This window comes from Homo sapiens, chromosome 12 (genome assembly GCF_000001405.40).
Source record: "Homo sapiens chromosome 12, GRCh38.p14 Primary Assembly".
NCBI classification, from domain to species: domain Eukaryota; kingdom Metazoa; phylum Chordata; class Mammalia; order Primates; family Hominidae; genus Homo; species Homo sapiens.
This window is the reverse complement of record NC_000012.12, coordinates 4,601,241-4,624,247: the sequence shown is the minus strand read 5'-3', so window position 1 is coordinate 4,624,247 and position 23,007 is coordinate 4,601,241. Positions and strand designations below refer to the sequence as shown.

At 38.9% G+C, this 23,007-nt stretch overlaps 2 protein-coding genes and 1 pseudogene across 9 annotated transcripts in view, besides 1 other annotated feature; 2 read left to right on the top strand and 1 right to left on the bottom strand.

Moving 5' to 3' along the window:
- The window catches only part of AKAP3 (A-kinase anchoring protein 3), a 33,534-nt gene extending 24,804 nt beyond the window's left edge, over positions 1-8,730 (top strand). For both annotated transcript variants that reach the window (NM_006422.4, NM_001278309.2), the window contains exon 6: positions 8,354-8,730. In NM_006422.4, coding sequence (NP_006413.4) covers positions 8,354-8,509 — 156 coding nt within the window. In that variant the 3' untranslated portion in view covers positions 8,510-8,730. The remainder of the gene's footprint in view (positions 1-8,353) is intronic.
- Positions 8,731-10,372: 1,642 nt separating this feature from the next.
- The window catches only part of DYRK4 (dual specificity tyrosine phosphorylation regulated kinase 4), a 51,668-nt gene continuing 39,033 nt past the window's right edge, over positions 10,373-23,007 (bottom strand). For 4 of the 7 annotated variants that reach the window (NM_001371301.2, NM_001394780.1, NM_003845.3 and 1 more), the window contains 5 exons: positions 19,162-19,334; positions 16,861-16,921; positions 13,964-14,093; positions 11,530-11,705; positions 10,373-10,736 (listed from right to left, as the gene is read on the bottom strand). In NM_001371301.2, coding sequence (NP_001358230.1) covers positions 10,495-10,736; positions 11,530-11,705; positions 13,964-14,093; positions 16,861-16,921; positions 19,162-19,334 — 782 coding nt within the window. In that variant the 3' untranslated portion in view covers positions 10,373-10,494. Of the gene's footprint in view, positions 10,737-11,529; positions 11,706-13,963; positions 14,094-16,860; positions 16,922-19,161; positions 19,350-23,007 lie in introns of those variants that run through there. The other 3 variants (NM_001394779.1, NM_001282285.3, NM_001282286.2) reach the window with 3 other exon arrangements.
- Positions 19,088-19,427: an enhancer, noted in NCBI's record as "active region_5827". NCBI's record gives its function as "activates an Ori minimal core promoter by ATAC-STARR-seq in GM12878 lymphoblastoid cells {active_cell/tissue: GM12878}" and the evidence as "EXISTENCE:reporter gene assay evidence [ECO:0000049][PMID:35858748]".
- LOC103568124 (coiled-coil domain containing 181 pseudogene) lies at positions 20,612-22,059 on the top strand (annotated as a pseudogene).

Genomic DNA, 23,007 nt, shown 5'->3' with positions numbered 1-23,007 from the left:
TTTAATGGCTTTATATATTTTATAATATATGAAGCCATTTCATATATCATATATGTTTTATATATGTTTTATATATTTAACCCCTCCCTTATGTATGGATATTTCAGTTGCCACTATTCTGCACTGTAAGCAATGCTACACTGAATATCCTTGAATATACATAATTTTGCACAGATTCAAATGTATTCACATGTGCTATACACCTAGGAAAGGAACTTCAAGGTCACTGAGAATATTATTTGTGTAATTTGATACATGTTTCCAAATTGCCTTCCATAGAGCTTGTACCAATTAACACACCTATTAAAACAGTGTAAGAGGACTATTTCCTCACACTTTAACCAACAGTGCATGCTAAAATTTTTAATTTGCTAAGTTGCTTTACTTTTTGTCTTATTAGGAATAAGGGTGAGTATCTTTGCATATAAGACCATTTGAATTTCCTCTTCTGTGGATTAATTTGTCATAACTTCTGCCCATTTTTCTTTTTTTAACTTATTTTAGGTTCAGGGGTATATGTGCTTGTTTGTTATATAGGTAAACTCATGTCACACGGGTTTGTTGTACAGCTTATTTTGTCACCCAGGTACTAAGCCTAGTACTGACCCAATAGTTATTTTTTTCTGAGTGTCTTCTTCCTCCCACCCTTCACCCTCAAGTGTCTGTTGTTCCCTCTTTGTGTCCATGTGTTCTCATCATTTAACTCCCACTTCTGATAACACGCTGCATTTCATTTTCTGTTCCTGAGTTAATTTGCCAATGGCAATGGCCTCCAACTGCATCCATGTTCCTGCAAAGGAAATGGCTGTGTTCTTTTTTATGACTGCATAATATTCCATGGTGTATATGTACCACATTTTCTTTATCCCATCTGCCATTGATGGGCACTTAGGTTATCTCCATGTCTTTGTTATTGTGAATAGTGTTGCAGTGAACATCCACGTGCATGTGTCTTTATGGTAAAACAATTTATATTCCTTTGGATATACACCCAGTAATGGGATTGCTGGGTTGAACAGTAGTTCTGTTTTTAGCTCTTTGAGGAATTGCCACACTGCTTTTGACAATGGTTGAGCTAATTTACACTCCCACCAACAGTGTATAAGTGTTGCCTTTTCTCCACATCCTTGCCATTACTTTTAATAATAGCCATTCTAACTGGTGTGAGATGGTATCTCATTATGGTTTGGATTTGCGTTTATCTAGTGACCAGTGATATTAAGCTTGTTTTTATATGCTTGTTGGCCACACGTATGTCTTCTTTTGCAAAGAGTCTGTTTGTGTCCTTTGCCCACTTTTTAATGGGGTTGTTTTTTTCTTGCAAATTTGTTTCAGTTCCTTATAGCTGAACATTAGACCTTTGTCAGATGCATAGTTTGCAAATATTTCCTTCCATTATGTAGGTTGTCTGTTTACTCTATTAATAGTTTCTATTGATGTGCAGAAGCTCTTAAATTTAATTAGATCCCATTTGTCAAGCTTTGCTCTTGTTGCAGTTGCTTTTGGTGTATTCATCATGAAATCTTTGCCGGTTCCTATGTCCAGAATGGTATTGTCTAGGTGTTCTTCTAGGGTTTTTACAGTTTTTAATCTTACATTTAACTCTTTAATCCATGTTGAGTTGATTTTTGTATATGGTGTAAGGAAGGGGTCCAGTTTCAATCTTCTGTATATGGCTAGCCAGTTATCCCAGCACCTATTGAATTAGGGAATCCTTCCCCATTGCTTGTTTTTGTCAGCTTTGTCAAAGATCAGATGGTTGTAGCTGTGTGGCCTTATTTTTGGGCTCTCTATTCTGTTCCATTGGTCTGTATGTCTGTTTTTGTACCAGTACCATGCTGTTTTGGTTACTGTGGTCCTGGAGTATAGTTTGAAGTTGAGTAATGTGATGCCTCTAGCTTTGTTCTTTTCACCTAGGAGTGCCTTGGCTGTTGGCAGGCTCTTTTTTGGTTCCATATGAATTTTAAAATAGTTTTTTCTAGTTCTATGAAGAATTTCATTGGTAGTTTAATAGGAATAGCATTGAACATTTAAGTTGCTTTGGGCAATATGACCATTTTAACAATATTGACTCTTTCTATCCATGAGAATGGAATATTTTTCCATTTGTTTGTGTCATTTCCGATTTCTTCGAGCAGTGTTTTGTAATTCTCATTGTAGAGATTTTCACCTCCCTAGTTAGCTGTATTCCTAGGTATTCTTTTTATGTTCTGCCCATTTTCTTATTGCATTGTAGGCCTTTTTCTTATTGATCTATAAGAGTTTTATATATTACAAGGAATCAACCTTTATGATATTAAATACAAATGTTTCCTTTGCCATTGGTCCTTTGATTGGTGTTTTGTTGTTGTTGTTGTTGTAGTTTGTTTCTGCCATACAAATGTCATCAAATATGAGACATTTTTCTTTTATTTTTGCTGGGTTTTATGTTATATTTTGGAAAACATTCTCCACTTTACGATATTAGCAAAACTTTCCCATGTTTTTTTCTAGTCCACTCATGCATTGCTTAGTCATGGGGATATGCTCTGAGAAGTGTGTCATTAAGCGATTTCCTCATTGTGTGAACATAATAGACGGTACTTACACAAACCTAGCTGGTATAGCCTACTACATATCTAGCTTATATTGTATAGCCTATTGCTCCTAGGCTACACACTTATATACAGCATGTTACTGTACTGAATACTGTAAGCAATTATAACACCACAGTATGTGTGGATCTAAACATATCTAAATATAGAAAAGGTACAGTAAAAATATGGTTTGAAAGATAAAAAATGGTACATCTGTATAGGTCACTTACCATGAATGGAGCTCACAGGACTAGAAGTTGCTCTGGATGAGTGAGTGACTGAGTGGTGAGTGAATGCGAAGGCCTAGGACATTACTGTTCACTACTGTAGACTTCATAAAAACTGTATATTTAGGCTACAATAAATATTTTAAAATATTTTTCTTTCTTCAATAATAAATTAGCAGCTTACTGTAACATTTTTATGTTACAAAGTTTTGATTTTTTTTAACTTTTTGGCTCTTTTGTAATAACAGCTTAAAACACGTTGTACAGTTATACAAAAATATTTTCTTTATATTCTTTTTTATAAGCTTTTTTCTATTTAATTTTTTTATTTTTTATTAAAAATGAAGATACAAACACACATATTGACCTAGGCCCACACAGGGTCAGGATCATCAATACCATTGCCTTCCACCTCTGCATGTTCTCCCATTAGAAGGTCTTCAGGGTAAGTAACACTCATGGAGCTATTATGTCCTATGATGACAATGCCTTTGTCCTGAAGGACCTGCCTGAGGCTGTTTTACAATTAATTTTTTTAATAAGTAGAAGGAGTAGACTAAAATAATACCAAAAGTATAGTACAGTGATACAGAAATCAGTAATGTAGTCATTTATTATCATTATGAAGTACTATCCACTATATGTAATAGTGTGTGCTAGACTTTTATATAACTGGCAGCACGGTAGGTTTGTTTACAGCAGCATCCCCCCAAACAAGTGAGTAATGTGTTGTGCTCTGTTACGATAACTATGATATCACTAGAAAATAGGAGTTTTTCAGGTCCAGTATAAGCATATGGAACCACCATCATATGTACAGTCTGTGGTTCACTGAAACATCATTATGCAGTGTATGACTGTACTTTTATGATTTTTAAAATATATTTAAGACTTTAATACATTTTGAATTCATTTTTATATAAGGTATGAAGTAGGGTTACAATCTCTCTTTTTTTTTTTTTTTTTTTTTGAGACAGTCTCGCTCTGTCACCCAGGCTGGAGTGTAGTGGCACGATCGTGGCTCACTGCAACCTCCGCCCCCCAGGTTCAAGCGATTCTCCTGTCTCAGCCTCCCAAGTAGCTGGGATTACAGGTGCACTGTAATTTTTGTACTTTTAGTAGAGACGGGGTTTCACCATCTTGGCCAGGCTGGTCTTGAACTCCTGACCTCATGATTCACCTGCCTCGGCCTCCCAAAGTGCTGGGATTACAGGCGTGAGCCACCGCGTCTGGCCACAATCTCTTATTTTTTTCCTATTCTTTTTCTAAACTTTCTATTCTGTGCCATTGAATTGTCCATCTACTCTTGTACCAATAGCATCTATTTTAATTACTGTAATTCTATAATATTTTTGAATATCCGATAGGACTGGAGACTCTTTATTTCTCTGCCTCAGAATTTTATAGGCTATTCATGTTTACATTTCCCAGTTTTCATCCCCTATCCATGGGCAACCATTAACCTTTCCATCATTATAAATTTGCCTTTCCTTGACATTTTATGCAATGGAGCCATAAAGTATGTGGTCTTTTACATCAGGCTCTTTACACTTAGTGTAAGGTTTTTGTGGTTCATCTGTGTTGTAGCATGTATCAGTAGTTTATTTCTTTTTATTGCTGAATAGTACCTCATTATGTAGATATACTACATTTTGTTTGTCCATCTATCAGATAATAGATATTTAGATGGTTTCCATTTTTGCTATTATGAGTAATGCGACTATGAGCATTCACATACAAGTCTGTGTGGTTATATGTTTTCATTTCTCTTGGGCAGATAATGAGGAGCATTAATGTAATGCAGCATGTTACAATAAGTGTAATTCAATAAATCTAATTTATTTTCTTTCCTTTTTTCTTATGTTTTTTTGTTGTTGTTGTTGTTTTTGAGACAGGGTCTCCCTCTCTTGCCCAGGCTGGAGTGCAGTGGCATAATCATAGTCACTGCAGCCTCAAACTCCCTAGGCTTAAGCGATCCTCCCACCTCAGCCTCCCGAGTAGCTGGGACTACAGGCATCCCCCACCATGCCCAGTTAATTGTATTTTGTTTTAGAGATGGGGTCTTGTCATGTTGCCCAGGCTGGTCTCAAGCTCCAGGGCTCAAGTGATCTGAACACCTCAGCCTCCCAAAGTGCCAGGAAAACAGGCATGAGCCACCATGCCTGACCGGTTAAGTGTAATTTCTTAAGAAATTGCCAAACTATTTCCTGAAGTGGTTGTAGCATTTTACATTTTCACCAGTAATTTGCACAGGTTTCAGTTTCTCCACATCCTGGTCAATATTATTCTTTCATTTGTTGTAATAATTATAGTGGTATCTCATTGTGCATTTCATTTGGCCTACATACATTAAAATGATGAGAAATATTGAGCACGTTATTCCGTTATGTGCTCATTAGCCATTCATATATATTCTTTAGTGAGATACCTATGCAATCCTTTCACCCATAATTTGGTTGGATTGTTTTCTTCTTGATTAGAATTATAAGAGCTCTTTTATGTATTCTGGATACAAGTCCTTTATCTGATATATTTTTGCAAATATTTTCTCTCAGTTTGTGGCTTATCTTTTTATTTAATGGAGTCTTTTGAAGAGCAAAATGAAGTCTAACTAGATGACAGCCGATTTATCACGTTTTACTTTTATGTCTTGTGATTTTAGTGTCATAACAAATGTTTGCCTACCCAGTGGTTCTCAACCAGGAGCAATTTTGCCCCCCAGGGGACATTTGGCAATGTCTGGAGACGTATTTGGCTGTCACAACAGAGAAAGGGGTTACCACTGGAGTCAAACAGGTAGAGGCCAAGGATACTGGTAAACAACATGCAATGAGCAAAATAGCCCCACAACAAACCCAGAAGGCCAGGAGTGCTGAGAACTAGAAACCTTGACCTATGCAAGGCCATGAAGATTTTCTCCTTGTTTTTGCCTACATGCTTGATAATTTTAGCTCTTATGTTTAGGTCTATGATCTACTTTGAGTTAATTTGTGTGAGGTAGGAGTCCAAATTCAATATCTTGCATATAGATATGAAGCTTATCTTGGCACCATTCGTTGAAAAGACCACTGGGAATCTGGCCCCTCTGAATTATCCATCTCCTTTATTAAAAAATCCTATTGACCATAAATGTTAGATTCAAGTCTTCTTTTGATTGGCATTTTCATGGTACATCTTTTCTTATAATTTTAACTTATTATATTTGAAGTGAGGTTTTTGGTAGGCAGCATACACTTGGGTTATATTTTTTGTCCATTCTGACATTTGATGTTTAGATATGTTAATCATTTATGCTTAGCCCAATTTATGGATATGTTTGAAGTTTACCATTTTATTATTTGTTGCTTCTCTTTTTTCTTCCTGTTTTCCCTTTGCTGCCTTCTCTTGGACTATTTGAACATGTTTTAGTATTCCATTTTAATTTATCTATTGCATTTTTGACTATATCTTTGTGTGTAGTTTTTTTAGTGGTTAATCTAGGGATTACAATGTACATACCAACTTCTCAGAATCCATGTAGCATCAATAGTTTACCACTTAAGCTGGAAGGTAGAAATATTACTACCATATAAGGTTCCTTTATCCTTCTCCCTTTATAGTTGAGTTGCTTTATGTATTTAATCTACATACTTTGAAAAAGCCCTCAATGTTACTTTTGCTTTCAACCTTAAAACACTTTTTTTTTTTTTTTTTGAGACAGAATCTCACTCTGTTGCTCAGGCTGGAGTGCAGTGGCGTGATCTCGGCTCATTGCAACCTCAGCCTCCTGGGTTCAAGCAATTCTCTTGCCTCCGCCTCTCGAGTAGCTGGGATTACAGGCACGTGCCATGACACCCAGTTATTTTCGTATTTTTAGTAGAGATGGGGTTTTGCCATATTGGCCAGGCTGGTCTCAAACTCCTGACTTCAGGTGATCTTCCTGCCTCAGCCTCCCAAAGTACTGGGATTACAGGCGTGAGCCACTGCTCCCGGCCCTTAAAATATATTTTAAAGAACTGAAGAGGATAGCCTACTATTTATACTGAGAGTTTTACTGTTTGTGTTGCTCTTCATTCATTCTTAATGTTCCCAGTTTCCTTCTGATATCATCGTCCTTCTCTCTGAAGAACTTCCTTTAGCAATTCTTTTAGAACACATTTTCTGGCAATGAATTCTCTCAGTTTTATTTAATCTGACAATGTCTTTACTTGACTTTCATTCTTGAGTTATAATTTCTGCTGGATATAGAATTCTAATTTGGCAAGTTTTTTTCTCTTAGCAGTTAAAAGACGTGACACTTTCTTCTGTCCTCTATGGTTTCTGATGAGAAATTGGCTGTCATTTGACTTGCAGTTCCCCTATAAATGGTTTTCTCTGGATGCTTTTAAGATTTTTTTCTTTTTCTTTAATTTTCAGTGATTTAGTTATGGTAGGTCTTGGAGTTAATTTCTTTGGGTTTGGGTTTGGGTTTATTTTATTTTAGGTACCCTGAGCTTTTTGAATGTATAGGTTTAAAACTTTTTGGCAAATTAGGAATACTCTCATCTATTATTTCTTCAGATATGTTTTGCATCATCGCTTTTCTCTTCTTTGGTATTCTAATAACATAAATGTTAAAGTTTTTGGTATTGCCCACAAGTCCTTGGGCTCTGTTTATTTTTTAAATGTTTTTTGAAATAAGTTTAATCAATTTCATATGTTGTTCAGCATGGATAATTTTTATTGATCTACCTTCAAGTTTACTGACTTTCCTCTCTCATTTACATTCTGCTATTTAGCCCATCTGACAGGTTTTTATTTTATATTTTGTAGGTAAGTTTTAGTTCTAAAATTTCCATTTGGTTCTTCTGTTTCAGTTTCTCACATGGATATTTCTCTTTCTGAAGAGGCTCTCAATATTTGGTGTGTTTATTTGCCTGCCCTTTGTTGTAAAAAGTCAAGAGCAAAATGAACAAAATAAAAATCTGATTACTTGAGAGAGTTTGTTGCCCTTAGGATTCCAGATAAATGACAGCGTTGTATTTATATTAGAATGGTTGCTTAACTTTCTCATTTTGTACTTGGAAAAAGAGCTAAAGATAGGCTCCAATACCTGCAATGAATTTTGGTTCTGCTAATTACTAGCAGTTAATTCTGACAAATCTCTGTACTTCTCTGGGAAACATTTTCATGAGGGTTGAATTGATCTCTGAGGTGCCTTTTTGCTCTAACATTTTAGGATTCTGTGGTCTATGGGGCATGGAAAGCAGCATCCACATTTGTCCACTGGACATTTTCCATCCTGCCCTGTTGGTCTTAGGACAATGATGGAGACTTTTATGATATTAGGGTGAGCTTAGAACCTTAGAATTCTTAGAGAGCAAGATCATGGGCAGGTGGGTGTTAACATCTCTTCTTTAAACTAAGAATGAAGTCACCAACCTCCTTCTGTTAAACAGGCCAGCAAACTTTAAAGTCTGTGTTGCAGTTTCCCAAGGTCTGCCTGGCCTCTCTGCTCCAGCCTTGGCAGGCTCCATCTGGCCTGCCATGAGATGCTGTGCCTCACCACTGGTGTTTTCTTTCCTTTCACAGCTACTTCAGCTCTCAGCTGCTGCTGTGGACAAAGGATGCAGTGTGGGCGAGGTTCTGCAGTCGGTGCTGCGCTATGAGAAGGAGCGCCAGCTGAATGAGGCGGTGGGGAATGTCACACCGCTGCAGCTGCTGGACTGGCTGATGGTGAACCTGTAATCGGCAACCCCACTGCTTTCCCCTCTTCTGGCAGTGGGGCCGGCCCTTATCCCCGCCCTTCTTTCTCACTTCCACATCTCCCCCTCTATATCCTCACAGAGCCCTAACATTATCTTCACACCACTCTCATCAAAGACATGTCATCTTGTGCTAGCCACTGGATTTTGCAGATTTTCCTGTCCATGCAAGCAAGGACGTAAAATTAAAAAATTACAATTAAAGGGCTCCACATGTTTTGTTTCCTTGGGATCCAATGGGACAATCAGGTAAAGAAATCCCAGGAGTGAAAAAAATAACCAGATGAATGGTAGAGGTACAACAGAGCTGGACTGAGAGGCCCTGCTGAAGGTCACTCAGCCTGTCCCCTGTCTGTGTCACAATTTGCAGCTTCCTTATTTAAACTATTCTCTTAAAATAAGCCACAGTTTATCAAGAATTCATTTTAACCTTTTATAACCATGAAAATCAGAAGATACTTTTGAATTATTCAATCAAAATCATCCTGATTACAATGTTGAAGACCTGGCTTCTTATTCTCTGTAGAGCTGCAGAACAGTGTCCACCTCCAACTTCATCCATGGTTGAAGATCGTTTCAAGAATGTTCCCAAGGATCTGAGTTCTATTGCTGGTTTTGTGGCTTTCTGGCTATAGAAACTGGGATAAGTTACCTGTTCTAACACTGCTCTGACTTAATGTCCATATCACCCCACTTAAGAAATATTTTCTGTTCTTACCCTGGATTTTCTGTGGAATTTTCTATCTTGACTCCTCTTTCTGTCTAGAAACTTCTCCATTGGCTTCTAATTTTCTTTCTGTATCTCTGGGTCTCTTGGAGGACCTCCTCAACTCTGGCAACTCCTTATATATTTGTCTTTCCTGGGACTTTCTCTCAACCCTCTGCTATTCTAACTCAAGATTTTTCCTGGGAGATTACATCCAAATCCATTGCTTCAATGACCTGGTGTCCCCCTTCATAAAATATTATGCAACAATTAAAATGAAAACTGTACTGGGGGGAGGTTATTCCAAATGGCAAGCAAAAAAGAAAACTATTTTTATATACTCTATGTTGTTTCTGATGTTATGATCTTAAGTTTCACGTAAAATTCTATCTGTCCTATGACAACCACATAAAAATTATGTATTTGTGTAGATGAGGATTAGAAAGGGAAGTAAGAAGACATACTTAGATTTGGCGTATGGTAGATGAGTGAACATGTCCTGCTTGTTTACTTAGCTTCCCTTCCTTTGGGAAACCTTCCATCCCTTGCTCTAGTCTAGAGAAGCATCAGTCACAGTGCCTTCACCATCACTGTGGGCTTGGGGCCCAGACTGGCCAAGCATCCCAGTATCCCAGTCACAATTTCTGTGTCACAATCATTTTGGAGACTCCCTGTTAGCAAGGAAGCCTGTATCTTTTTGACTGGATGTTGGCGGTTAACTTCTGAGCAGGGCCTGACATCAGGATGAAGTTAACCATAGTGAGAAGCAAGGCTAATAGATGAAGAGGGAGTCTGAGCCCTACAACCTCATTTGAATTCCTGGATCCTGCTGCGCCTGAAACTACATCTACCTTTTCTGATGCCCCAATTATGTAAGTCAATAAGTGTCTTCCGTTGTTTAAACTGCTTTTGAATTCAGCTTCTATCATTTTCAAACAAAAATCCTGACATAGGTTGGCAGTCATGGGCAAGAAGAAAAAAAATTTCTTTTGTTTGGAGTTCCATTAATGATGCTGTAACACTGAGAGTTCAAAACTACCCGCCCCCTCTACACACACAGATGCATATGGAATGAGTTTAAGTGCAAGGACATCCTCCCCCATCCCTCATAAGAGGAGTCATGCCAATTGGCCATGTTAATAGAGTTTTTTAACATAAAGTTTTATGTATTTAAAAAAAACAGTCTGAAGTATTGTACAATATAAGTGCTGTCTTAATACAAATCACTGGTGGAAAGGAGCAGGACATACCCTCAGCAAAGGTCATACAATAGGGGGTAAAACGTTTGTGTTCTTGAGGGAGAAGTTTTTGCTCTGTCCTGGGGAGGTCATGGACACCTCCGCCCCGACAGCTGCCTCTGACTTCTTGGGAGCGTCTACCAGTTGAGGCAGCTGAACAGTGTCAGCTCCGTGCTGGAGACAGTCCTGCTGATCACCTGAATGCTGAACATGCTTCGTGGGGCTATCTTTTGTTTTCTCTGTAGTCTCTTTGGTGATCTCATCTGCTAAAGGAGAGAGAAGACAGAAGGGAACAAGATTCAAATGTGGATTATATGTTAATTGTCCTTTAGGTTGTACATCACTTAGTGGAAACGATGACCGTGATGATATAAAAACAGTTCATTTGTAAAGCACCTCCAATGTGCCGGGCATTATTCTAAGCACTGTACATTTACTAATTCGTCTGATCATTTCAGCGACCCTGGAGAACAGGCTTTATTCTCATTCTCATAAATGGAGATACTGAGCTACAGAGAGGTTAAGTCCACACCTGATAAGTGGTAGAACCAGAATTTAATCCCCAGGTAACCTGACTCTTGTGACCATGTACCTAACCACTAGGCTATATTGCATATAAAAATTTGCATAATGCCATAATCTGGCACTGACAGAAATTCTAAAGGTAATTATAGGGCATAAAGGGGTGGACGCAGTTAATGAAAAAGGGAGGAGGAGAAAGGAAATTGATTATAGGAGAAAAATGGAAAATCCTAATAAGGGGCAAAAAAGATCCAGGCTAATGCCAAATTTCCCTGAAAAGGAAAATCCCAAAGGTAAGAAATGGCAGGCTAGTCATGATGTAGCCACAAGAATTATCCCAGGTTGAGGTTAGAGAAATTGACATGCAAATCCTTCAGAAATGCTTAAACAGCATATTAAACAGAATATTAAAAACAAAGATTTTAATTTCCAGACTACAGAACTGGGGCTTCAAAAATATCACAAGGAGATTTACAGAATTCTAGAATATTAATTCCCGGACTGTGGGACTAGGACTGGTTATTTGACAGGCTGTACCTTTTCTGCTCGAGTGATGACAGCCTTGAACCTTGTCCTTCCTTGTCTCAGAGGGGAAAAAGGAATTGGATTTCCTCAGGGTCTGGGGCCTGGGCTGTGGCTTGAGGTTCCGAGACTGATGAATCCAAGCATGCTTGAGGGCCTGGTCCGGGGTCATGCGAAGAGAAGGTTCCCATCTGCACCCCAACAAAGCCCCACATGGGTTATTGTTTTATTTCCTTTTAATATATTAAAACATTTTTAAAACCCAATAAAGATTTTTATTTAAGCTATGTTGATATCTCAAAGATATATAATCATAGAACAGAGATTATGGCATATAACTTAAAAGTACCTGGAAACAACTAATGGAAATAATCTTTTTAGAAGATGTGTATAACAAGCCAGGGAATATATATTACAGTCCAAGTCTTCCAGCATTCCTAGAAATTTCCTTATAAGAAATATTATTTTACAAAAGCTTAATCAATAGGATTTAGGGTTTGGTAAGCTAAGAATATTAAAACAAAGATTTCAATTTCCAGACTACAGAATTGGGGCTTCAAAAATATTGCAAGGAGATTTACAGAATTCTAGAATATTAAGATTTGCAAGGGGACTTGGATATAATCCAATCAAACTTGTAATACAGTAGCAGAATACATTGACTGAACTACCATCATGGAATCACCCTGCAATTCTTGAGTAATTTCAGTGACAAGATACTAACTCACAGAACCATCTATTCCAATTCTGAAAAAACTCCGATTCTTTAAAAGTTCTTGACTTTTATTGTGCCAAAACTGGTTTGCTTCCCAGTAACTTTTACCCAGGTCCTAATTCATCAACACATTACCATCACACAAAATAACTATCCTAATTTTATGGTTCAGTCCTTCAACCATCTGAAAATATTTACATCGCTACTAACTAATGATCATATGATATGGTTTTCACCATCTGACCACCTTCTGAAATAAGGATATTTTAGCAGTTGTCTAACTGGTGTCCATCATGGTGGGAATAGCTTCTATAACTGCAGGGAGACAGTATTAACATTCTAGACTCATTAAGGTCCTAAAACAGCTCAAACTCTCATTTCTGTGTCAAATGAATTGCTGTTAAACAACATCTCTCCTTTCCTGGACTTCTGGAGTTCGCCTACAAAGTCTAGACACGGGGCTTTACATTTATGCCTATTGAACTTGGCTCAAAACTTTTAGTCTCAAAGATTTTCTAATTAGCAATATATATATATAAGATAACAGTCCCCATCAGCCTGACTGCCTCTTGCAAGTTATGAGTAATCAGTCCTTTGCACTAAAGAAGAAAATAATGCCTTCCTTGGTGCTGAGCTGTGTTCTGGATGGTTGAGGTTTCTGGATAACCCATCTGTCTCAGCAGTTGGTTTCTGTCATTTGTTAAGGTAGGGGTAAAGATGGGGTACAGGATCCTTCCCTACCTTGATTATTCTGATGAGTGAATAGCATGACCCCCTACGATGGGAATACTTTCATCATTACCTCATGGTTCACCCTCTGAGCTAGTACTGAAATTCCAGAGAGCACAGATGCCAGAAGAGTATTTTGATAACATCACTCCATCCAACTGGAAGAATAAGAGACTGTAATGATATGGTCTTCTAAAAATACTAAATTATAGGACTGATAGAACTGGAAGGGAGCTTAGGAATACCGTATTTTATAGGAAAGAACACTGAGGCCCAGAAAAAAGTGATGACTTGCCAAGTATCACATGGATAATCTACTTGCCACTCTGTGGAGATAGATTTACCTCTTTAATAGTCGTAAAATAATAAGAATAGCTAACGTTTTCTAAACACCTTTTAAACTGGGTGCTGTGCTGGGTACTACGACTTAAGTACAGATCTAATTTCTAAGATTCAAAATATGCATATAGATTATAAAAAGTTGTACATAATAAATGGTTTACAGCTCACCTTCCCCCTAATTCCCTAATATAAGACGATTTGGGTACTAAATCCTAGGGGGAGGGGGACAGGCCCTGAAACCAGTTTACACTGGATGTGTATGCAAATCATTACAACAAGCAGTCAGGGGGTTGGCTTCAGCTCACAGAGCAGAAGACATTTAGGACTGGCAAACAATCTCACTGCCAGGCAGTTTGAGGCCAGGAAGATGACAAACTCTACCATACGCTGTGTATTCCAGGGCAGGTCACTTAATCTCTTTGAACCCCAACCTCCATACGTGCAAAACAGAGCAAATCATCTGCCCTGACAACCACACAGTAGGGAGAGATGTCTGATGAAACAACAGATGTGGAAGCAATTTGTAGACTTTAAAGCTCTATTGTTAGCATTTCTTGTTACTTTTATAACTATCTCCCAGCCTTAGTCTTTCACCAGCAAACGTGTGTCAAAGTACAGCATTTAAGAGGAAACCCAGAAGCAGAGATGTCCCAACAAACTCACACCAAACACCTTCTGAGAAAGTCCAGGAAGCTGGTGTCATAGGTTTTCAGCACCATCGTGAGGTCCTTGGAATCTGGGTATCTTTTTTTCCCCCTGTTGTTGGTTATATTTTTAGGAAAACCTTTGGAATCTGTAGAGATAGAACATTCTGTATTTAGTTTCAGGTGTAAATCTTTAGTGGTCACATGATGCTGCTGCTTAGAGTGGCCTCTGTAGCTCTTTTGCTCTCTGTCTTACACACTCGCCTCATGCCACACCCCAATAAACACACACACACACACTCAGTTTGAAATAACCATGTGTAGATTACCCAAGGAATGCAATTTACTTTAAAAATTGATTTTTTCCTACTATTCAGTATGTTCTGAACTTCCTTCCCACTGCCTCCTCTCCAAATCAAAGAAATAATTTAAATGGCTTAACACCAACCAAGATAAAATAATAATGCTAATGATAATAATGACAATGGTAAAGTAAATGTTAAGTGACAAGGTCCTGTGAAATTGTACAAATATCCATTTCCTTTTGGATCATGGCCTTAGCCCTCCCACTTCATCCTACATTGTCCTTTTTACCAATGACCAAAGAAGAATCAAGCTCACAGTCTTATCAATAACAAAGCTCCTAAAGTCATGATCATGTAATTGTTTTTTCTCACTCTGGCCCTCATCAGTCATTCCCTCCATCCCCTTCTTACTACCTGAGCCACCTGGGCCACCTAAGTATAATATCTTACCAGCCTTGAGACAACACCATTTTGCTGCTAATTAGGGGTATTAACTAGGAGTCGCCCGGGGCAGAGGAGCAGTTGGCAGCCCAAACCTGGGAAAGGAACAGTCAAGAACTGAAGTGGACAACCGTGTTTCCCAAACTTATTTTGTCATAAGAATCACAAGGAGCCGTCATTAAAAACGTCGAATCCTGGGTCCTATCGCAATCTTCCCATAGCATAGCTTATAGAAGAGAATCACAGGAATTCGCTTTTTTGCCAAGTCCCCAAATGATTCTTACATTTGGATAGAGTTTGGAAAACACTGACGAAGATGCAGTTCTCAGCAACATTCCTTCTTTCACAGGAAGTGAAGACATGGATATTGCTGCCAAAACCCCATCACCATCCTAAAGCCTAGTGCTGATGGTAGAAATAAGGAACTCTATGAAGTAGACATGCCTATGTCTTTAGTACGTTCCTACGAAGGTGCTCTGTGTTCCCTTCCTGCTAGTCCCCACCTAGATGCTATCTCATGAGTTCAGAGTTACAGGCTCAAGATATGTCTTCCCACAGTGACTCTGCCTAATCCAAAAGGCTGAATTATTAAGTTGTGGGTAGAAAAAGTATATTTGGGATCCAAAGACCAGTTCGCGTGCTCCATGTGTAAATTATACTGGGGAGCCAGCCAGATCCTTTGCCTACCGCCAGATTGCTCGGTTAATGTGTGGTCACCATTCTATGGCAACCAGGACACTGCCCTGCTCAGAGGCAAGGTCTCCAAAGCTCCAGCCATGATTACCAGATGATGTTTAAAAGAATTAACCATTGGAATGAATGGCATGGAACCAACTAATCAGAATGGAAGACAGCCCTGGCACTGGAGTAGGATCATAGAGAACTTCTGCTTGCTTGGCCTTCAGCTTTTAGGTTTTTGGATCATGGAGAGTTTAAGGAGTCCTGGGAGAGGGCCAGGGAGCCTGCAGTTGTAGCAGGGCTCAGGGCTGTGGCTTTTTACCAAATGGTACAGAAATAGACAAATTATAACCCCCACATGGCTGAATCAGTTCATACTGACCAGCATGACCCAAACCCTTTTATCCTAAAGGATCTCCCCACGAGAGTGTTTTGGACCTTCCTACTGATGGAGCAAGTTGTGAACAGAAATTGTGTGATTTGCATACATATTCAGAAGCTGCTCGCAGTTGAAAATCAGAGGTGGGAGGGCCAGGAATGTCTGGGATTGTGTGGTCAGAGGGAGTCCATGAACCGACCTGACAACAATGGCTGGTCAGAAATGTCACTCCAGGTAGCATGGAGTCCCTGTCTGTGGAGTTCCCTTTTCCTCCTATTTGGCTTTGCTCCACTTTGCTGACCTTCAGCCCACTCTGGCTGTTTCTATCTGGGACTCTTAGCTTCCTGTGGTTCTTTAAAGGGATTTTAGGTATGAGATTTGCTGCATCTTTTTGGTGCGTGTACGTTGAAAGCCCTGCCTCAGTTGATACCTTGTCGACCCATCCTTCCATCTTGTATAGGACCACTTAAATAGAAAGGCGGAGGATCATAAAAATCCAGAATTCTGGGAATTATGAGGAGAGGGGCAGCCTGGACTGTGGACGAAGTTTACTCCCAACAATCAGACAGATGACACGTACATAACTACCAGCCACAACACATCAAAGCAAAACTAAGTCCTTGCTTAACCATTGGCAATGAACCTGGCACAGTAAGGTCTGGAGGATAAGAAGAATTTTAGCAGGGGAAACAATAATGCAGCAATGGAATTTTCCACTATTCTTGAAATGAAGCTTCTGCTCTTTGATTTCCCTGCACAGTGCATAGTGTGAGAGGGCAAGTTGCTTGGGAGAGTGGGGAGAACTTCCGGGAGAGGATGCAGTTACAATATTTTGAGGTTGCAATATTTGCTGATAGCTCTTCTGAGCAGGGACCTGGCTATTCTCCTCCTCCTGAGCATTTTTACTGTCAAGACCCTGTTCCCACTGTGACTCCCCCATCCCATCTCCAACATGCTATCCGATTCCCCTGCTCATTATCTTTTACTTCTCTGAAAGACGCTCTTAATCACAGCCCTTTGGTATGTGGCCAGGGGAAAAGAATGAAATGAGCCTTAAGGTATGGCAGGTGTCTTCAAGGCCTGTGACACCTCATGAGACACACTAGGACTTACCAAAGAATGTCTGTCTCCTGGAGGCTGTCTGAATGAAGCCGGCTGGCGGCAGACCCAGCACCTTAATAAGGATAATTCAATTGGTTCATTCTTTGTGGGAGCACAGATTCAAAGGCTGAGGGGTGGAGCGTACTTTGGCCAAGCTTTGCCTTCTACAGATAAGGATTCAAAGCATTAAGTAATAACATCTGGTCAGTAGCAGAGCAAACCCAGAGCCTGGGCCTTTTAACTCCTAATCCAGGGCTGGTTTCATATCCTAAGAATCAACACTGGCCATGTTATTCTACACAAACATCAGCACCAACTAGGGGTGGGCCACCACCCTTGATAGCAGCCAGATGTCATTGTCAAAGCAAATAAACTAGTACACATGCTGCCATGTCAGAATTAAAGAATGATATATCCCACCATGGAGCACTGGAAAGGGAGAAGAAAAGATGAAAATCACCGGATGAGCATCAGACAATTATAAGACAAAATACCTTCTTGAAAAGAAAAGTGTAGCACCTACTTGTTCATCTTTTCCTACTGCAACTTAGAGGGGCACACAGAGATAAGGAAATTACAGTGTGGGTCACCTGCCCTTGCTGCTCGGTTCCCACCCATAATCCATCCATTATCCTGCTCTTCTGTTCCTCAGACCCTTTGACACTGAGGTCAAGAGGAAGCTGAGTCAGTTCTGGGGCTGTAGGAAATTTGAAACATAGGCCCCGTTCTCTTTGGTATTGGAAGCAGGAGTGGTCTGGGGATGCTTTATAAAATCATTCATTATCAACCTTAGAAGCCATCTTCTCTGCTCCCCTCATTTTATAGTCCAGAGCTGGGAAATGCCTAGTCAAAAAGACAGAGCCAGGACTAAGACCCCAGGTTTAATGACTCGCAGGCCAGTGTTCATTCCACCACAGCTATTTTTACCTAAGTTATTTTAATATTTTATTATTAGTTTCGATCATGAAATGAAATTATCTATGTTTAGTCATTCTCAAGGCTATATGTGTTTCTCTGTAACTTTGAGACAATCTGGAAAATAGAAATTTGGCAAAGATAGATAGATACAGATACATAGATAGATAGATAGATAGATAGATAGATAGCCAGCCAGCCAGCTAGCTTGGTGTTTGCACACAAAATATCTTTGTTCACTGGGAAAATCCTAAAATGTAAAATTTAAAATTTTTAAAGTTATTTTTCTATTTTGTCTAATTTATTTCCAAAACAAGATGGCTTTCAAGTGAAAGCATAATAGATATAATTAATAATCATATCATGAGTCTTGGTCAAGCCTTGCTATTAGGAGATAGTTTTCCCAGAAAACTGTCATTTCCCATAATGAATGACTAATGCCTGAACAATACACATACTTTGAAGTCAAATAATTTCCAATTCTTTGTTTTCAACATTTTAATCGGGTTGTCAGCTGACAGGCTGGTAAACATAATTTTAGATGACAGATCACCATTTGATTCTTACACAGAACTCAAAAGGAGTCACCGAATTAGACGACATTAATTAGAACAGGCTTCCTCACTGGGTTCACATCTACACCACCAAGCAATTGGAATCACATTGATCCCGAGCCCGGGCATTCTAGCAAGAAGCATTATTCACCTATGGGTATAGGCATTAATTTGGAAAAAAAAAAAAAAAAAAAAAAAAAACCCAGCTCTATTCATTTTTCTAAGAGCTGTATGCCCAATAAGATTTCACATTTTATTTTCAATAATTATCAAAATTTGCACACCAGATATATTTTAATGGTAACTTACCAGAAAGAAATTTTTACACATGAGGCTTACGGTATCAGGAAATTTTTAAAGCTATAATGATTGATAGAAGTTTCTAAACATAAACGTATATTAAATTAGAATAAAATTCCATAGAGGAAGTAGAAAAAAGAGTAGAAACAAAAGGGAAAAAAGAACAAAGTAAAATCATGGCACAACTCTTAAGAACCTGTTCACATACTATCAGATAGATTTTAATGGGTGTCATGTCCGTCTGGTTTTGCATTCTTTTGGATATTTTTGAAAGAGCGGTGTAATTTTATTTTAAAATGTCACTATTTACAATATGATGGAAATGACATCCTCTGCAACTATTTAAATTTATGATAAAACGTTAGATGTCGACTTGACAAGTACAAGGGAGTACACAATTTCAAAACTCCTTTTAGGGAATACTCAACAACAACAACAACAACAAGGTATGCAGGCCATGGTCCTGGGCGAGTCTGGTGCAGCCCCGTGTCTGAGGGCCAAGCCCACGGTCTCCGTGGGAGCCGACCGCCAGCCCTCCGCGTACCTCCATGATGCAGGCCAGCTGCTCCACCTCATTCTCCCCGGGGAACAGGGGGTAGCCCGTGTACAACTCCGCCGTGATGCAGCCCAGGCTCCACATGTCAATGGCCACGTCGTAGGGGTGGCCCAGGATCACTTCTGGGGATCGGTAGAACCGGCTTTGGATGTACGTGTATACTGCGGAGGCAAAGTAAGAGAAACCTCGTGGGACAAACTTCTTACCCTCCAGAACGCTCTCCCCCAGGACAACTTCTCAGTTAGACTGCGCCCCCGCTGGCAGTGAAAGGGAAGTGCAGCTGGCCAGCACTTAGAACTCCCATTACACCATCACAGCATCAAATCCGCCAGCAACCTGATTATAAAGGAGGTGTGACTGTCCCTGCTTTATTGATAACGAACTCCAACGTGGGCACTGTCGTAGGAAAGTGAATCTAAGTGAGCCAAGTTTATAACAAACAAACAAAACATAAGACAAATATAAGACTAAGTTTTCAAACTGTCAGATTGATTTGGGGTAGACAGCTTCTGAGTCTTGTGACTTGGCAAGAGAGTTATCAAGTTAGAAAGGGAGCATATCAAGTTAGAAAGGGAGCATGCAAAGTCTGTATTCAATATAGCATGTGCACTTATTGTATAGAAAGAAAATTCTCAACAGGTGAGGATGAACAGACTGAAGTCGAAGAAATGGAACACGGTAGTTATTTCCGCATAACTGGGGTTTCTGGTTACCTGGGGAGGGGCAGGGATTCTGTAACCACTTTTCTGTTGTTTAAATTGGTTATTGTCAGAACATAATTCTGTGATTTAAAACAAAATAGAGATTTAATAAAAATAATGTTTATATCCTGCCTGCTTCCCAAATGTGTTTGTGGTACTTTGCAAAGTACACATGCACAGAGTATTTTAGAACATGGATTTAATGGTATTTACATTATGTTTAGTATGTGCCAGGCACGATTCCAAGTACTTTTATAGATAAGCCCTTTCAACCCTTACATTAATTCTGTGAAGCAAGTAGTATTATTGCCTCCAATTTAAAGAAGAGAAAACTGAGGCATACAGAGGTTAAAATGTCAAGGTTACTCAGCTATAAGTGACAGAGCTGGGATTTGAGAGTAGGCAGTTTAATTCTAGCATCAATATTAGATACTGCCTCACAGTTAAAATAAAGATAAAAAAGATGTCAGAAAATATGCAAAGGGGGAAATGACTGCTAGAAACCAAGGATAAAATAATTACGAATTCAGTTCCGAGCATCTTGGCAGCCAAGATAAATGAAAACTGAAAAGTTACACAGCTTTCAACATCTGAGAAGGGAAAACATACAAGTTCTTTGTGGGAAGCATTACTTTTTAGCTGGAATTTCTTATAGGATTCATACATAAAGACACAAAGGTTTTATGTCCTCAAAAATTGATCTGCCAGAGAGGCCCAGATGGAGGACACAGAGGCATGCTGTTGCCATGGCAGTGTGGTCCTGGCTGCTGCGGAGGCAGGTGCCAGGGTCTCCCTTGCCTCGATGTGAAGAGCTTAGAAAGCGGAGGAGAGGAGAACTCCCCTGGCCGTCTCTGTGACCCCAGCCGCCGCATTTTACACAGACAGGAGGGAAACAGAGGGAGAGAAGGGAAGGACGGTGTGGAGTAGAAATATTAATGGTGGGAGAGAGGAAAATGAATGAAAATAAAGAGACTGATTCAAAAGAAAGTGAAGAATACAAAGATGAATCTGAAAAGGACCTGGAGGGGTTAACTAATGAAAATGAAAAAAGTGATGCCAGCATAATAGAGATGGCTTGTGAGAAGGAAGAGAATATTAACCAAGACTTAAAAGAGAATGAAACAGTAATAGAACACAGCAAACAGCTTTCTGATCCTGACAAATCTTTGCAGGATGAGGTCTCACCAAGAAGAAATGACTTCATTTCGGTACCGAGTATTCAACCTTTGGATCCCATATCAGATTCAGATAGTGAAAACTCTTTCCAGGAGTCCAAACTAGAAAGCCAGAAAGACTTGGAGGAGGAAGAGGATGAGGAAGTAAGGTGATACATTATGGAGAAAATTGTACAAGCTAACAAGCTTCTATAGAATCAAGAACCCGTGAATGATAAAAGGGAGTGAAAATTTAAGCTCAAGGACAAATTAGTTGATCTGGAAGTTCCTCCACTAAAAGACACTAATACTTACAAAAGTTATTTTGAAAATGAAAGAAATATATTTGGGAAACTGTCACAGTGATGTATTTCCAATGATTTGGGACAAGAAAATATGCTCCTGTCACTTATTAATGGAAGCTGTGAAATAAACAAGGATAGGACAATACTGGTAGAGAGAGATGGAAAATTTGAACTTCTGAATTTACAAGACATTGAAGAGTCAGGGGTATTTGCCTCCCATTAATAATGCAAATAGTACAGAAAATGACCCTCAGCAGGTGTTACCCAGATCTTCCAACTCCTGTGTCAGTGGCATCAAGAAAGAAGATTCTGCAGCAAAGATTGATGTTGTCACTCACTCATCAACAGGAGAGCCGTTGGCTTATATCCCTCCACTTATAAGTTGGCTTATATCCCACCACTCAACCGCAAGACTTGTCCAAGCTCTGCTGCCATCTCAGATCGAAGTAAAGGGAATGGGAAATCTAATCAGGACAGTCTGCACATATCTCATCAGTGACCTCAACATACTGTCTTTCCCCTTGACAGAAAGAACTACAAAACGAGAACAAAAGAGAGAAAAGCTGAAAAGAGAGGAAGAGCAACAGAAAATAGAAGAAGAGGAAGAAAAAAAGAGGGAGAATGGCATAGTATTTAAAGCATGGTTGCAAAAGAAAAGAGAGCAGGTCTTAGAAATGAGGAGAATTCAGCAAGCAAAGCAGATTGAAGACATGAACAGCAGAGTAAGTAAAACTTTTCTGAAAAATAAGTTCATACAGATATGAAAGCTGAACTTAATTACAAAAGGGAGTCTGGATATCAGCCTATGAAAGAAGTAGAAAAGTGGTTCAAGAACTACCCTTGAGAAAGATGCAACATGCAGATAACTTTCCAATTAGGTTCTAAGAGGCCTTGTGAAAATAAAATGATTCCTATTTTGTTCAGACTTTGAAGGAACAGAAAATAGAAAATGATCAATTCATTTTTTCAAGATGCAACTTTGGTATTCAAACAGGACAAAGATACACACACACACACACACACACACACACACACACAAACCCTACAGACTGGTCTCACTTAAGACTAGACATATGGAAATCTTATGTAAATCTTTAGCAAATTAAAGACACCAAATTATTTAATTTAAAAAAATTTTAAAAATTGAAAATCCAAGAGAAAATTTTGAAAATCATCCATATCCTTACTAAAAAAAAGATATATATGTAAAGTAAAAGTTGAAAATTCAACCCTAAGCTCTTCCAGGCTCATCTCCAGTGATAACCACTTTTAACAGTGTGGTGCAAATCCTTTTATATCTTCTTTATATTTATACATTTACATGTCAAAAGTTTCATTATTCAGTTTTTTTTCCACTTACTTCATCATGGACATCTGTCTAGGCCATTACATTTAAATCTCTCTTTTCAAATAGCTGCGTGGTATTACAGCGTTAATTTATTAAACCCTTCTTCATTTGTAGATGTTTAGGTTGGTTCCAATGTTGTGCTAGCTAACAGTGCAGTAGTGAAGATGTACATTCTATGAGAACATCTGTAATCTGTAGGAGAGGTTCTTCAGAGGGGAATTTATAATTTTTGAAGGTTTAGAGTGAAATGTTTGGTTACAGATGCAAAAGTATCCTCCCAAAAGATAATATGAATTCACAGTTCCTCCAACAGTGTGTGAGAGTGA